The sequence below is a fragment of the Homo sapiens genome, chromosome 11 (genome assembly GCF_000001405.40).
Source record: "Homo sapiens chromosome 11, GRCh38.p14 Primary Assembly".
NCBI lineage: Eukaryota > Metazoa > Chordata > Mammalia > Primates > Hominidae > Homo > Homo sapiens.
The window spans coordinates 110,123,594-110,139,572 of record NC_000011.10 but is presented as its reverse complement, the minus strand read 5'-3'; the positions used below and the strand labels follow the sequence as shown (position 1 = coordinate 110,139,572).

General features: G+C 36.1%; 1 protein-coding gene across 2 annotated transcripts in view, besides 2 other annotated features; it reads right to left on the bottom strand.

Moving 5' to 3' along the window:
* The window catches only part of ZC3H12C (zinc finger CCCH-type containing 12C), a 78,450-nt gene that overhangs the window by 32,269 nt on the left and 30,202 nt on the right, over positions 1 to 15,979 (bottom strand). The window contains exons 1-2 of one of the 2 annotated variants that reach the window (NM_001411037.1): positions 8,467 to 8,573; positions 2,159 to 2,910 (exon numbers count right to left, since the gene is read on the bottom strand). In NM_001411037.1, coding sequence (NP_001397966.1) covers positions 2,159 to 2,910; positions 8,467 to 8,490 — 776 coding nt within the window. In that variant the 5' untranslated portion in view covers positions 8,491 to 8,573. Of the gene's footprint in view, positions 1 to 2,158; positions 2,911 to 8,466; positions 8,574 to 15,979 lie in introns of those variants that run through there. The other variant, NM_033390.2, reaches the window with a different exon arrangement.
* Positions 7,064 to 9,403: an enhancer, noted in NCBI's record as "VISTA enhancer hs1311". NCBI's record gives its function as "enhancer in: neural tube[7/7] | hindbrain (rhombencephalon)[7/7] | midbrain (mesencephalon)[7/7] | forebrain[7/7]" and the evidence as "EXISTENCE:transgenic organism evidence [ECO:0001131][PMID:17130149]".
* Positions 10,926 to 11,448: an enhancer, noted in NCBI's record as "OCT4-NANOG hESC enhancer chr11:109998850-109999372 (GRCh37/hg19 assembly coordinates)". NCBI's record gives its function as "activates a minimal SCP1, AML or CMV promoter by ChIP-STARR-seq in naive and primed H9 embryonic stem cells {active_cell/tissue: H9 hESC(naive and primed)}" and the evidence as "EXISTENCE:reporter gene assay evidence [ECO:0000049][PMID:30033119]".

Below are 15,979 nucleotides of genomic sequence, written 5' to 3'. Positions count from 1 at the left end.
ACTGAAGTCCTTCTCAAAGCCCTATGAGCATTCCATACCTCTATGACACTTGGCGAGATTCTTTCTACTCCATTAGAAAGGGTTGTTTACATCCAAACTGATCTCCTACCTCCCATACATCATTGCAAAAATGATCAGTATAAGGCACAACTCTACTCTTGACACTCCTCTACTGAAAACCCTTCAATTACCCTTGGATTACAGAGCCAGCTTTAAATTCTCTAGTAAGATCTGGCTTTAACCTTTTCAACTTAGTTTTTCTCTTTTTTATGTAATGAAGAATATAGGCTTTTAGGTCAGACATTTTTGGGTTTGAATTCCATTTTGTCTTGGCAAGTAGTTCAAATCTTGTTGCATTTGCTAATAAATGAAAGAAAGATAATACTGCCTCCACCCGAAAAAGCTATTTAGAGGATTAGGTTGGTTCTCCTCATAGTCTATGTCAAAGAACTTGCTGTCACCTACAGAAAACAGTAGTTCCCTAATTTCAGCATACATCATTAATGGAAGGCACACTACTTACAAAGTGATGCCTGAGTTACACTTTGAACTTGACTTGGTAGGTCTGCATGGGGCTCTAGAAGTGCATTGTCCAATATAGTAGTCAATAGCCACATCAGGATACTGAGCACCTGAAATATGGCTATTCTAAATTGAGATGTGCTATAAGATATACACCAGATTTCAAAGACTTAAAATCAAAAGAATAATGCAGGCCAGGAGTGGTGGCTCATGCCTGTAATCCCAGCACTTTGGGGTGCCGAGGCAGGCAGATCACTTGAGGTCAAGAGTTTGAAACCAGCCTGGCCAACATGGTAAAACCCAGGCTCTACTAAAAAATACAAAAATTAGCCAGGCACGGTGGCATGTGCCTGGAGTCCCAGCTACTCAGGGAGGCTGAGGCACAAGAATCGCTTGAACCTGGGGGCGGAGGTTGCAGTGAGCCAAGATGGTGCCACTGCACTCCAGTCTGGGTGACAGGGTAAGACGTTGTCTTAAAAAAAAAAAAAAAGAATAATGTAAACTATCTCATTAATAACTTTTTAAAATTGATTACATGTCGGCAAGATATTTTAGACATGTTAGCCTAAACAAAATACATTAGTCACATTAATTTTACCTGTTTCTTTTTACTTTTTGATGTAGGTACTAGAAAATTTAATATGACATACATGGTTTGCATTGTATTTCCCTTGGACAGCACTGATATAGAATCTGCATTTTCCATAAGTCCCTCAGATGATTCTCTGGTAGGCATCATCAGATCACCTTCTGAGAAACTGCATATGAAACTCTAAGCTCTCCAGAGGAAGAACTGATGCTTTTATACACATATCTTTTTATCTTCACAGCGCTCTGAAATTGTGAGCAGTTACCCATAAGCTGATTGAATTTAGATGTGCTTTAAATATTGAGCCATCAAAATCACACAAAAAAATTTCTTTTAAAATTTTATTTTAAATATATATATATATTTTGCTATAGGTAGAGGTGTTTCCCTATGTTGCTCAGGCTGGTCTCAAACTCCTGGCCTCAAATGATCCTTCCATCTTGACCTCTCGAAGTGTTGGGATTACAAGTGTGAGACACCCTGCCTAGCCAAAAAAATTATCACTGAAAGTTTTGCTTTTTTTTCCCCCCAGTTCCTTAAGAATTATTTCTGATTTGAATTTCTTAAATGAAAACAACTCAAATTACAAAACAATTCAAACTACAGCTTTGGTTTTTTCTCAAATCAATAAAATACATAGTTTATTTTCTAGAAGAATTAGGGTTATTTAACTTCCTAAAGAAATAGACCATTTGACTAGATTCTAAAATTGTTGAATATTATCATATCAAATTATTCATTTAAAACTACTGATTAATAGTAAACCAGAAACACACACTAATTTTTATACCATAGAAATTTAGCCAGATGAGGACAAAAAGAGACATATCTGAGAAAAATGGGTCTCTATACGGGGATAAATGAAGTAAAGATGGCTGAGTGCCCTGAAAGAAGAGAGACGGAAAACTAATGTTTTCTAATGTTAACATCAGGATACAGAAAAATGTTGACTTTAATGACCATGAGAAGGAAAAGAGCCACAAAATTAGAAATAAGGCTTTTAAAGATTATTTGGTAGTAATTTTCAGTAACGATTTTTCCACTTACCTCATTGCCACATTGCTGCCATCAATAACTATTGGTCTCAGATTTTCACCATCATCTGTTACAATCTCTTGCATTGGAGATTCAGACCTCTGAGATTCCAGGGAAGAAGTTTCCCGTGTTATAGTGTTAATTGTACTAACCGTTTGATCAGCCTCACTTTTATTTCCAAGTTTGACAAGTTCTCCCAAAATATCATTGATTAAAGCATCAGTACCAAGTTTGTTTAGTACAAGCTGAACCTGTTCTTCAGAATAACCTAACTTAAGTGCAAACTCCAGTTTTGTTTGGTATTCTCGCACCACATCAGGTGGTTTCTTTGCTTCCTTGGATGTAGTCTGGGACTCTTCAGGTTTAAAGTCTTGCAAAATTTCATTGCGCTTGAGTATGTGAGGCTCTAAACAGGGAGACCTGCAGAGCTGTCTGTGAGTCTTAGTTATCAAGCCTGGCTCTACTGAAATGCTACCCAATTGTTCTGACTCATGATCAGAATTTGTGTTTTCTTCAGAGTCACCAGAGCTTGCATTCTCTTCAGACGCCTCTTTTTCATCCTTCCCCACATTAACGGTATCCATACTTGGGTTTTCTACTGTTGACCAAGGTACAGCTGGACTTAACTGTGGGTCAGTGCTCTCCACATAAAGGTGGCCGAGGTCATGCCCTAGGTGATCCTTCAAGCCCATGAAGTTGTTACGTGTACTTGACTCCACTTTGCTGTTTTTTCTGTATTCCTGAATGCAAAGCACCCCGTATTCCTAGAGAAAAATGTAAAATATTTAGAATTTCATAGTTATGGCTAGATTTCTGTCTCAATGGAGAAGTCAGAAGAGAATTACTCAACTACTCAAAATACTTTGTATTTTGTCTACATCCTCTCCTCCCTCCTAACACCCTTGCCAAGAGAGTATCATCTGCCATTTTTCAGATGAAGAAGTCATAAATTAGAAAGGCCATGTAATTCCTCCAAGGCAACAAAGTAAATAAGTAGTAGAACTGTATTTTTTTACCCAGTTTCGTCTGATTCTAAAACCCATGCTTTTCCCACTATATCATGCTCCTTCTCAATCTCGATGGATCAGATTTTTCTACTTTTAGGACGGCTTATAATTCTAGAGTGACACATAGAATATCATCAAAAAGTATGTTTTTAATATGCATGACAGGTTAAAATTTACATTTTTCTCTAACAGAATTCATAAGTATCTATAAATATTCTTTTAAAAAGAAAGCCACATAGAAAGAAACCATTAACTTATACTTGAAAAATCATTATTAATCTGGATGAAGCTTAACAGCAATCTAAAGAACTTTCAAAAATAACATAGATACTGCAATGAAAGAGCACATATTCTAAGATAGACAGAAGGGAATTAAATAATTACAAAGTGAGTTAAATTCTTCTTAAGAGATGAACAGGGTTTTGCCCTAGTAATCATGATTTTTTGACTATGGAACATAGTAACACAATATAATTTCTAGCATTATGCTATCCTTATTAAGTGCCAGGGAAACAACAGTCTATTTCATTCCAGGAAAAGGTAAAAGTTTTATTCTATCTGCACTTACGGAAAGCAGAGATGATATCTCACATAAAATTAGCAGCAAACAATTAGGCATATTAGATAATGTTATCTCAGTTTCTTGAATTTTATGGCAGAAAATCCTCCTGTATTATGTCAGATTAACTAGCCATTAATCTGCATTTGGTTAAAAAGTGATCTTTTTTCCTATTTTTCACCATATAAGAATACTTTTACTATTTAAAATTGGTTTGTTTTTTGCCATTTTACTATTTTTCCTTAAAGACTATTGGAAATGTTATTTCTCTACTAGGAATGGGTTAGGAAAATAAAGCTATTTTCTCTGGTGCTTCATTGTAAGAACTATATCCACATCAAGGATTTACTTTTTTTTTTTTTTTTTTTTTGAGACGGGAGTCTCACTCTGTTGCCCAGGCTGGAGTGCAGCGGTGTAATCTCAGTTCACTACAAACTCTGCCTCCCATATTCAAGTGATTCTCCTGCCTCAGCCTCCTGAGTAGCTGGGATTACAGGTGAGTGCCACCATGCTCGGCTAATTTTTATATTTTTAGTAGAGACAAAGTTTCGCCACGTTGGCCATGCTGGTCTCAAACTCCTGACCTCAAGTGATCTGCCCGCCTTGGCCTCCCAAAATGCTGGGATTACAGGTGTGAGCCACCACGCCTGGCCTCATGATTTACTTGTTAAGGCAATTCTGGTATTCTACGCAGATACAGCATTAGCAAGCCAGCGATAGTTGAATTTCAGACTGCCATAAAAACACCTATTTAAAACTAACCTGAAAAAGAAAACTGAGAAAATGTTTCTAAAGCTCTTCAACATCATATTTACACTAGAAAATAGCTATTATATAAATGTTAAAAGAAAATGCTAAGTGATTTTCTGAGAAGTCACAAATTTGAAAGCATACCTGGTAAACTTTAATTAGAGAGTCAAGTAATGAAATACATTTTATTAACTATGGTAAATACTAGAGAAGAGAACATGGAATCTTCAGCTTGATAATACACTTAACATTCCTTCAGTGTAGAACTCCTACACACTTCTACAGGAGTTTCCTCAGGGCCTATTCCCTGAGAAGATAGACAACTTTAATATCATTGTTCTACTAATACAGGATTCATTAGTTTTAAAGAAACATCAATTCCCCTAGCTCTGGATTGGCAACTCATAAAAAGAAATATCCCTTAGGAGAGCTCTGTATACATCTGCTTCATTATGAAGTTGTATCCACTTCAATTTTTTCCTATTAATATAGATATGCATGAGCCCAATTACTTAGAATTGAAGGAAGGAATTTTAAAAACAGATTTTTACACCCTGTGATTTATTAACTACTGTAATATACTAACACCATAATGCAAGTAACAAAATCACAGCAGCATCCTAATAAAGGGATACAGTTAAGAAAAGTCCACACCATGGCCTTCATGGCGCTCCCACCAAAAGTATCTTAAACGAGGAAAACCTATTGGAAGCTGGGCTGCTTGGCAACCAGAAGCTGGTTGCTAAGCTGCACGCCTTTAACATGCCATCATGAATGCTAGCACAGTGAAAGAATAATTTGGTATGAACAAAAGCCTATAAAAGAGACTGGGACTTAAGTGCGTCTGGTTTACCCTCCGAGAACAATGCAGCTGCCAAACCAATCTGGAAGCTCCGACATCATTGTTCTATAAACCCCACAATCTGCTCTGACTGCAGGAAGTGCATTTAATGGGCAACATTTTTGATCTCCCCTGAAAAGTTTGGGTTTTGTATAAGTGCTGTTGTGAGATAATTCTTCAAGATAATGACTTGCTGACCAAATCCCTGAATTGACCTAGGAAATATTATTTAATATTGAGCAGTTTGGGGCTTGCTTTTGTTTTTGTTTTTCTTTTACACCAGACAAGATGAATACCTTATGAAAAATACAACTAGTGACAAATATTAGAACAAAATGTTCTGCTTAAAGGATAAGTGAAATTATTTTCACATTTTTCAAAGTAACAAAATCAGATACTGCAAAGTTTTTAAACTGAAAATCAATCACTTTAAAAGGTATTTAAATCTTTCTATATCTTCTATCTAATGTTTTAAAAAAGTGTCAGTGATACTACCTAAACCTACTATACCATGTAATTTTATTATATGGCTATCATGATACAAGGCGGAAAATAGGATTTTCAGTTTTTTTTAATAACTAAATCACACAAACCTCATTTGTATACCAATGTATTTAGTGACTACCACATATTTTTAAAGTGATAATTTATGTAATTTGCACACAATTTTAAGTAAAAAGTTTACAATAATTAGGTTGACTTTTTAATGCTAAGGATAAATGTAAGCCTAACCTACTTAAAAAGAAATTAACATCCAGTTTTTTTAGGCAAATAAGTTTTGTCTTAAAATATTCTGGTTGAACTTTTTTCACACTGACAGGCCTCTCTTCATCTTCTAGATTTCATTGGTTAGCTCAGAGAAGGTTATCCAATGTCATCGTGTACTAAACAAGCAGTTAAATGATTTTTAGTCCTTGCAAAACAAGAGGCTAAACAGAAACAGTACAAATAGGGACAAATGAGTTCAATTTCTATGCCTATAAACATACTACAAATTTGAAATAACCTGATTTGTATTGATCCAAATGGTAAAGATTTGGTTTTTAAAACTTTGATCTCTAGAATGCTTCCTCACCCACTTGTAATTAGCAAACGATTGCCCTTACTTAATAGGGCACCTAAAAACAACCCAGAATTTGGCAATATCTTGAAATCATTCAATGAAAAGCTACATGATAAAGATTTAAAAACAAGGTATTTAAATAGGCTGCAGTATTTGTTAATATAATGAAATATGTAAAACTTACAAGAAATTACTATGAGAAACTTAAGAAGAAAGAATGGTATATAATCTTTATTTTCGTTCAGTTCTTTAAAAATGATTAATATAACTTTTAAAAGAACGGAAAAGACCATTAACAACACAAAATGTATTATTACATGTAAAGTAGAAAATACTTTTCATTTCTTAAAAAATTATTAGACTTTTAAGTTTGCATTTACTAAAACGTAAACTCATATAAACCATCTTAAATTAATCAATGAAATATTAACTGATAAGGGTAATTTTGCTCATTTCATGAAGCAGCATAGTCCAAGTTTCACAAAGTAGGTCAGTTTTTACTCCCATAGTTATCAAAAAACTCCAAGAAATGCAGCTAATTTTTAAACTGTATTATCAGGGCTCCACTGTAATTGACCTAAAGACACTATATTCTTGAACACAAAAGGAACTGGGCAAATATATAGTGATTTGTGAAGATTTCTATAATTATAAATCTATAAATTCCTTCCAGATACTGTATTGGAAACTCAATTTTTCTTGCTAGAAGGCAAGTTGAAAATTAAATAATATTATTTGTTGAAAAAGAACTAAATGTTCATGCTAATTTTGTAGATGATGATGAAGTGTAGCTAATTCTTTTAATTATCAAAAAGAAACTTTGTACTAGCTGAATGCAGGTTTACAACATAATGGCTATTCACTAGAAATTTATTGCACACACTGAAATTCCTCCATCGAGTGACCAAATTTTCTGAAAGTTCTCATTAGTTAACTTGGATAATTCTTCGTCTCAAATCAGATTAAAAAAAAAAATCTTTTTTCTATTCTAAAGAGCCTCATATTAATCAGGAATATTAGACCATAAACTTGTTAAGCCGACTTATTTGTTTGTAATGTAAAGTTACAATGCCATAAAAGTGGGTTCTGGTTGTTATCCAAATGGTAATACTATGAGAACAATAAAAATAAAATAATGAATATGTAATAAATACCTACTGCTGCAGTCTCTGTGTATTTAATTACCATTGTATTTGAGTGAGTGCTGTTGTCTGCATCCCTCTAGCTAACAAAGGAGGGATGTCCCTTTGAACAGATTGGTTAATGCTCTGGGGCAACAGATGTCTACTGGAACTGCAGGAGACCAGCAACTGGTGGCCTGCCCATCTTCGGAAAACTTTCAATAGACTTATGCATATGTTCGCACAATAGGGCATGTGGTAGAAATGAAAACCTCTTTTTAACCCTTTATGCTCTTTCTTTCCCTCCCAACTGATAGATGCACGTCTTTGTTTCTTCCTCCCTTCCCCTTTACAGAACTCTTGAAGAAAATAGTTCTTGGAATGACATCTTCCATCTAATGTCTGAAACTAATGTAAGGGAGAAGAAAGGTGAGAGTGAAGAAATCAGAAGCTGTACATGAATACTGAGATTGCTGACAAAGCAACTGAATGCTTAATCATCGCATCTAAAACAAGTTGAGACATCTACCTACATCAATCCATCTCCCCAAGCTAGACTTTTAAGACAACAGAAAGCTCTATCAAATCTTATCATTTTATAGCACCTGGGTACGACAGTGACATCTTAAGAAACTTAAGACTTTGACAAGGTAAGATTTAAATCCACCATTTATCAAAAATATCGGAACATTTATTATAACTTGACTTTAAGTTCCAAATGATTATACGCCATGCCTAATGCCTTATAAATGTTCATGAAGCTCTAAGTAATTATTTATATAACTCTAGACTAGAAAAGTGTAAAAATCTGCTTCGCAGACATATTTCACAAAAATAACTTAATTTTCTGGTATGTTGGCACTATGTAATAATTTGTAGACTTTCATTGGAGGTGATTTCTTTTACAGAGTTCAAATTAATACTCTGAATATTTAGCAAAGTTTAACTTCCAAGGCATTAAAGTAGCACAAATACTCACGTTAGCAGGAAAATACAAAGACATTGGTTTCTGTAGCAGCTTCAGCAGTAAACTCCTTAACACAATTTTAGCTGCAGACTTCCAGGCAGGCAAGAAGAACAATGAATGGTTGAACAGATGGAATGGTAATGTCTTTGCTTAACCTATTACCGAGTGGAATAACAGCCAATCATAGGCCAGAAAGCTCACAATTAGTTGGCCGGGCAGATGCAAGACAACCTCAGCACCCTGCGTCAGGTTCGTAGGTTTCTAAGATAAGCAAGCTGATGTCATTCGCAGGGTCTGCCCCGGGCAGCATGTGTATTAACGAGGGGTGTGCAGCAACAATAGGCCATACAAAGCTGACTAGTAGGCAGCTGCTCTATGAGAGCGGAGTCATTAGAGAGCAGGCTGCCAACAAGAAACACCTGGCTTGGGCAGACTTCAGTTTTTCCTCCTTGTTTTTAATGCACGAAACAAAGAAACCAATTATATTTTAAAGTAGTAAAAGTTGCATGTTTCCAAAAAGTTGAGGCTATACTGTAGTCTATTAGCTTTTCATTTTTATTAAAGAAAATGAAGTGTGTCAAAGTAGCAATTAACTATTGCAGTAATCCCTGTCTTTAATAAATGAGTTACTGGTGAAATGAGACAGAAGGGTATAGTCAAACTATTTCCCTGGAAATAGTGGAAAATGTGTAGTTTTAAGTATTTGTTAATTTGTTGCAAGACAAGAAAACAAAAAGAAGAGATGATGAAAATACAATTGCAAAAGAAAAAGACTTAAGAGATCACAAATAGAACTGATTTTTAAAAATTCACTGAAAGTGTAGATAAAACAAAAGTTCTGTCTAACTTTGTGCCAAATGAGTTACCTAAACTGTAGATTTAGACAGAATTATTTAACTTCAACTTAAAATCATCAGAATAACCTATCCTATGTATGCCAATAGCAGTGTAAAATTTTTTTTACTATGGATACTAGTTAACCACGTAATTAAAGAGAAGCAAAGTCTTTCATTATATTTTAATATACAACATAACTGTTTAAAAGTATTTGTATTTCATAAAATTTGTAAGATGTAATACTCAAATTTCAGCTCAGGAACAAGTTAACATTATAAATACTATGATTTTTTGTAGTGTATAAAGTATATAAAAATAAGCCCCTTTCGTGAGTAAACTTGTTATCCCAGATTTATTTCAAAGTTTCAGGCTGCAATATGTATAATACTATGTACTACTTGCTTTTGTGGGCTGCGTAAGTTATACTTGGAGTGGCCTCTGATTATGAACAAAAAAAAAAATCAATCAAAATGTAAATACTATAAGGCATTGTAAGGATATTTCCCTACTAAAGAAAAAGGAAATCTATAGCTGTTCTACTATTTACTTACGTGATGTAGAACACAAGCACGCACATTCCCTTTTCATTCCAGTGCAAATTAAAACAGTGAAGGCAAAGAACTGCTCTTTACATACAATTTTCTGCTATAGGCTGATTTATGCAGAGCCTAGACTTTTTCATTATATGATCATGAATTCTAAAGATATAAAAAGTACCCAAAACAATCAAAATCAATCTCCTTTTATACACAAATACAGAAGCTACACACAATTAGGATCATTTGTGAATAGTTGGAAAAAAGTAACACTAGTTTGGGACTCCTGGCCTTGTCCTTATTGTGCCTACTCAAATGCAAATGAGATCGTCTCTATTTACAAAATAAGAAGATCTACATGGTTAAGATGTTTCAGTTATCGCACTGAAAACACTCCTTCTGCCTACTAAAAACTGAAAATTATTATTGTTTCCAGAAAGAAAACTAAAAGATAAAGTACCATATTACAGATCATCATTTGTTTACAGATATTTCCTCAAGAGAGTTCCAATATTTTATTGATGTATGCCATTCTAAAAATGGTAGGAAATTTAAAAATCAGTGAAAATATTTTTGAACTAAATATAATTACTAGGTTCTGAATGACAAACTAATTTCTAAAGTAAGACCTATTCTTTCTTCTGCTAAGGGTTATAGCAATATTACTGAAATAGTTAAGGCGATGGTCTCATTTCATAAACCCATCAAAGATCAAGATAAAGCATCTCTAGTATTCTCGCTTATTGCAAATTACAATGTAAATTACACAGAATTCAAATGTCACATATTGGGTAAGCAAATGGATGTCCCAGAAATGAAGAAAGACTTTATCTCTTTTTTTTTTTTTTTTTTTTTTGTTAGTGGTGGTGATAGTTCTTTTTGAAATCTCATGAATAAAAAAGATATCAGCCCTGAAAAGAATAAGAGAAGGGCCACTGTTATGGCTAATAAATGTAATTCTTCTGGTAAAACTGAGATTGATTGAGTAGGATAAATATGAAAAACGTAACATATATCCACACAAAGTAGTTACAACTGAAACCTAATAAAACTTAATAGCTGTGCACTGAGTAGAAGAGACACTGAGGTCAGTATTTATGAATTCATATTAGAAACTCTTTCTTTTGTGTATATCAAGGAAACTACTTGGTATGAATAGACAGTCTTCTTTTTTCCCTTGGGTTTTCTTCCTTCTCTTTATCCCTTGCTACTACAGTTACTACTTTACAGCTTTAATTTAGGAGGAGGAGGAATCTGCTCACTAACGCCTGCCACTGTGAACACAAAGAATGAGAGAAACTACCCCAGGGCTCAGCAGGAAGCCTGATCTCTAGCACTGGATTAAGCTTTTTTGCAAACAGCAAATAAAGGCAGTGATCTGAAAAAGCTAATCAGATCCTGCTGTGGTATTTAGACTATCTCGGTTGCTAGTATTGGATAATGTTAAGCACATTAAAACATCTGTAGGTGAAAAGACAGCCCCCAGGCTGGCTTTCTTAGTCACATGGCCCTAGTCCACTTCCCACTGCAGGGAAAATACAAACAGCTGGACTGGGCTCTGTTTGGGTCACTGAAATAAATGACTGAGCACAATGCACACTTATGACAGAAAAAAAAAAAAGACAGTGTAGTTTTAGGAGTATTATACTAAAATCTGTCTTTGCCATGGGTGGGTCTAATATTTGAAACTTGAACCATTTGAGAGGGGCTTGTACTTTTTCTGACGTATGAATGTGAAACAAGTAAGCTTTGATGTGGGGGTATGGCATCAATTATCTTTGCCAGCAGTGATCTGAGTTCACTTCCTGGGACCACTCTCTTTAATATGTAATCTCTTTTTTTTTTTTTTTGAGAGTAAGTCTCACTGTGTTGTCCAGGCTGGAGTACAGTGGCACAATCTCAGCTTAGTGCAACCTCCACCTCCCAGCTTCAAGGGATTCTCAAGCTTCTGCCTCCGAAGTAGCTGGGACTACAAGCCCCAGCCACCACGCCCAGCTAATTTTTGTATTTTTTAGTAGAGATGGGGTTTCACCATGTTGCCCAGGCTGGTCTCAATCTCCTGGCCTCATGTGATCTGCCCACCTCTGCCTCCCAAAGTGCTTGAATTACAGGCATGAGCCACCACACCCAGCCTATAATTTCTTTTGATCCTAATGATAACACCATGGAAGTAAGATTATTATATCAGATTTTCCCAACTGTCCCCAAAACGTTGAAATTAAAATTTTAACCAAAAACTATTATTTTTGAGTGTTAAAAAAAGAAGCAACCACCACCACCAACAACAACAAAAGCTAATTCACACACATAGTGTAAAAGAATAGAGTAAAAAATCAAATAGGCATTAACTCTAGTATCTATGAGTTATTATATTTAGGAAGTCAGACAGGCCATGAGCTCTCTTGTAGAAAGCTACTCTTCTGAGTGCTATTTGAAAAGTGTTAAAGACTAACTTTAAACCACAAAACAATGCTAAGAATATTGCCTGTATGAATTAAAGACAAATAAATTGCTGTAGATATAGGGAGCACTGGTTAACAGAAAGTCGTAGGGTCAAATGTATCAAGAACCTGATAAACATCTGAGACATGCCCATTCCAGAAAGTACTGTTGAAAGCGTTAGACATTCTCCTAATTCCTTTCTGTCCATGAAACCATGCCACTTTTCAGAGAAGAGGCAGACGCCGAAAGTCCCAACATTAGCCCATATTTGAAGCCAGCCCTGAATACAATCCACCCAAAGTAACTTCTGGAAAAATATACCTTTATATTTAACATTAACTGTAAGAAAAAAGATCTCAACTGTAATCAAGATCATATGTTTAAAATAAATCATCAAATATAAATAACTTTATATAAAATAAAGCTCATAGAGAAGTATTAATATGGGGTAGAAAAAGTACATTAATATTAGTGTATTTATTCATTAAAATATGAATATTGGGTAGAAAATAACTAATATTATTAACCAATAAGGAAGACAACAAAAATCAATGAAAGTAGCATTATTGGAACATGCAGTGCAAATGAAAAAAGTTCCAAACACATTTTCTGCTCATACTTCCTCCAGTAACATGGCCATCTCTGCCATTTCTTACTGTTAACATTAATCTCATTACTGGAAGTGGGGGCTGAGGGGAAGGTAGATTAAAATTATCACCATGATATAGTTACCTCCATAGCCATTAAGTAAACTGTTGGTATTTTAATAATAAGAAAGAAAAACAACTGGGTGCAGTGGCTCACACCTATAATCCCAGCACTTTAGGAGGCTGAGGCAGGAGGACTGCTTGAGCCCAGGAGTTAAAGACCAGCCCAGGCAACATAGGGAGATCCTGTATCTCAAAAATAAAAAATAAAAGATTAGCCAGGCATAGTGGCACATGCCTGTAGTTCTAGCTACTCGGAAGGCTGAGGCAGGAGGATCACTTGAGCCCAGGAGTTCAAGGCTACAGTGAGCTGGAGTTGCACTCCAGCCTGGGCAACAGAGTGAGACCTCATCTCAAAAAAAAAAAAAAAAAAAAAAAAAGAAGAAAACAACAACTACTTTTCCTATTCAAATCCTAAAAGAAATTGTATCAGAACTCATGTTTTTTTGTAAATCATATTTGCTCCTAAAAATACTAAGCAACTACCAATAGGTAAATAAAAATAATAGATGCATATCAATTTACTATTCATCAGCAAGAAAAACAGGACTTTTGAGAAAGGGCTTGGGACATTTACTGGAAGAACACGAAGGAGCTCTCAGGGTCAGAAAGAGATCTCAACATTCAAGCCTTCAGGTCAGAGATGAGGACTAAACCCCGGGTTTCATTTGCAGAGCTTCTAGACTATCTCTCTGATGATTCAGCACTATGTTCTCTGACCTTGTGTTCTCCATTCAAGGTTCAAATTCCTGAGACAGAGAATCTGATGAGCACAGCTGAAGTCATGTTACTCACCTGTTTGCCCTAGTACTGTGGCCAGATGTATGTGGGGCCATGATGGGCTGCCCTGTCAGGCCGTAAGGAGATGGTGGCGGGGCATTCCTTAGGTGGGGTGATAGTAACAGAAGCAGAGCAGGAAAATGCTAGGTGGACAGAACATCAGACACCCAGTACAGAAGGACATTAAACACATTAGAGAGGCTGGCCATGGTGGCTCACGCCTGTAATCCCAGCACTTCGGGAGGCCAAGGCGGGCAGATCACTTGAGGTCAGGAGTTCAACATCAGCCTGGCCAACATGGTGAAACCCCGTCTCTGCTAAAAATACAAAAAAATTAGCATGGTGGCATGTGTCTGTAATTCCAGTTATTCGGGAGGCTGAGGCAGGAGAATCCCTTGAACCTGGAGGTGGAGGTTGCAGGGAGCCAAGATCACACCACTGCACTCCAGCCTGTATGACAGAGCGAGACTCCATCTCAAAACAAACAAAAAAAACCACACACACACACACACACACACACACACACACACACACACACACACACACTAGTGAGAGATCCTATATGGTTCCCATAAAATCCATCCAAATGACTTAAAAGAGGAAGTAGAAATGGAATAAACTTATCAGTCTTGAAGAACTTATGTATTGCTTGGCTTCCGTTTTCACATCTATGAGCAACAGTGTATCTCATTCCCCATTTTCCTTAAGAGTAGCTATCATTGTTGCAACAGTGCATTCTTAAAACCTCATAGACACCTTTGTCTATTTCTCAATTGTTTCATTCATTTAATACATACTGAAGATCCAGTTAATCAATTCTTGATTATTTTTCTCTTCCCAATTTTCTCATTCCCATGGCCATGAGCATCCCTTAGGCTAAGCATTTATTCCCCCAGGCTTAGATTATCTTAATTTATCTCCTTCCTTGAATATCCCTTAGGTACCTCCCTGCCAAAGTAATTTTCAATGACATCACTCTTCTGCTTAAAAAAAAAAAAAAATCTCAGCTGCAAATCACAAGTCTCTGGTCCTCTGCTTTGTTTTGTTTTCGAGGCTCCATCTACAAACGGGGCCTCCTCTGGCCCTGTAATCTAATTTCCCACTTAAGGTGAAGGGACAGCAAAAGTGAGGGCACAGATGTCTCTTTGCCTTAAGTGTTGTCTTGCACTACAGCCTCACCTATCCAGTTCTTATCTATTGTTCTAAGCCCAGCTCAAGACTTATTTTTTCCATAAAGCCTTCTTGGACTAGTTCGGTTTTTATTGCTTTCCAATTCCTTCAAACTTCTGTAACATGAATAGTGTGTACAGTACAATTTAGCATTTATTTATGAACCAGGATGTAGGCTTCTTGAGAGCAGAACCATTCATTCTCCCATAATCTACATAGTACAACCAATATGGCATGCAGCAGTGTGCTGATCTCTAGAAGATCTTCAAGTGAAAAATCGACCAATAAAAAAAAAATAGACCCCTGCAAATTTGAATGCAGGCATTCACAAGAACAAAAATGCTGCTCTGCTAGTCTTTATTTCTCCCTGTGACAGGGTGGGTTTATCAGAGCCCTCGGCCATTGGCAAAGTTCTTGTAGCCCTGATACTGCCACTGGGGCTGCTTCCAACATTCAAAGAAGCTCAAGACTCCCAGTGATGACGGGTCTTTTCCCGCAGTCTCCTCTGGATTCTCTTCCCAACTAGAGCTGCAACTGCGGAAGTTCCACTGCAGCTTCTGCCTCCCCACTTGAGGATCACTTTGATGGGTAAGTCTGTAAGGACCAGTCCTTTTCAACTGCACATTTCTCTTTGAGATCTGCCCACAGGCAGAAAACACTTGGGTGCTTTGCCCTCCAGCATGGCCTGGGACTGGATGGTTAAATCTAATTCTGGGGTTCAGTGTTACTAAGCTCTTTATGCTGTTCTCTTAAATCACCTTCTCTCCAATAGTTCTATGGATGGAAAGGGCTGCTATTTTGATCTCCATGTGCTTGGCTCCTTTGTCTGTTTCTCAATTGGTTGAGAAATAAGGCAGGAAAAAGACCCCTCAAACTCCAACAATACTCAAGAATAAAAAGAGTTTTGTTATAAAGAACTACTAAGAAAAATAAAGGGTAATAAAAACTGTATGAATTAACTCTAATCAGACCACTTGTCTAACACATTTGAGGGGATTAAGTTCAAAAAAGAAGAAAAAAATTCAGTCACAAGAAAGATAATGCTCCTCAAAG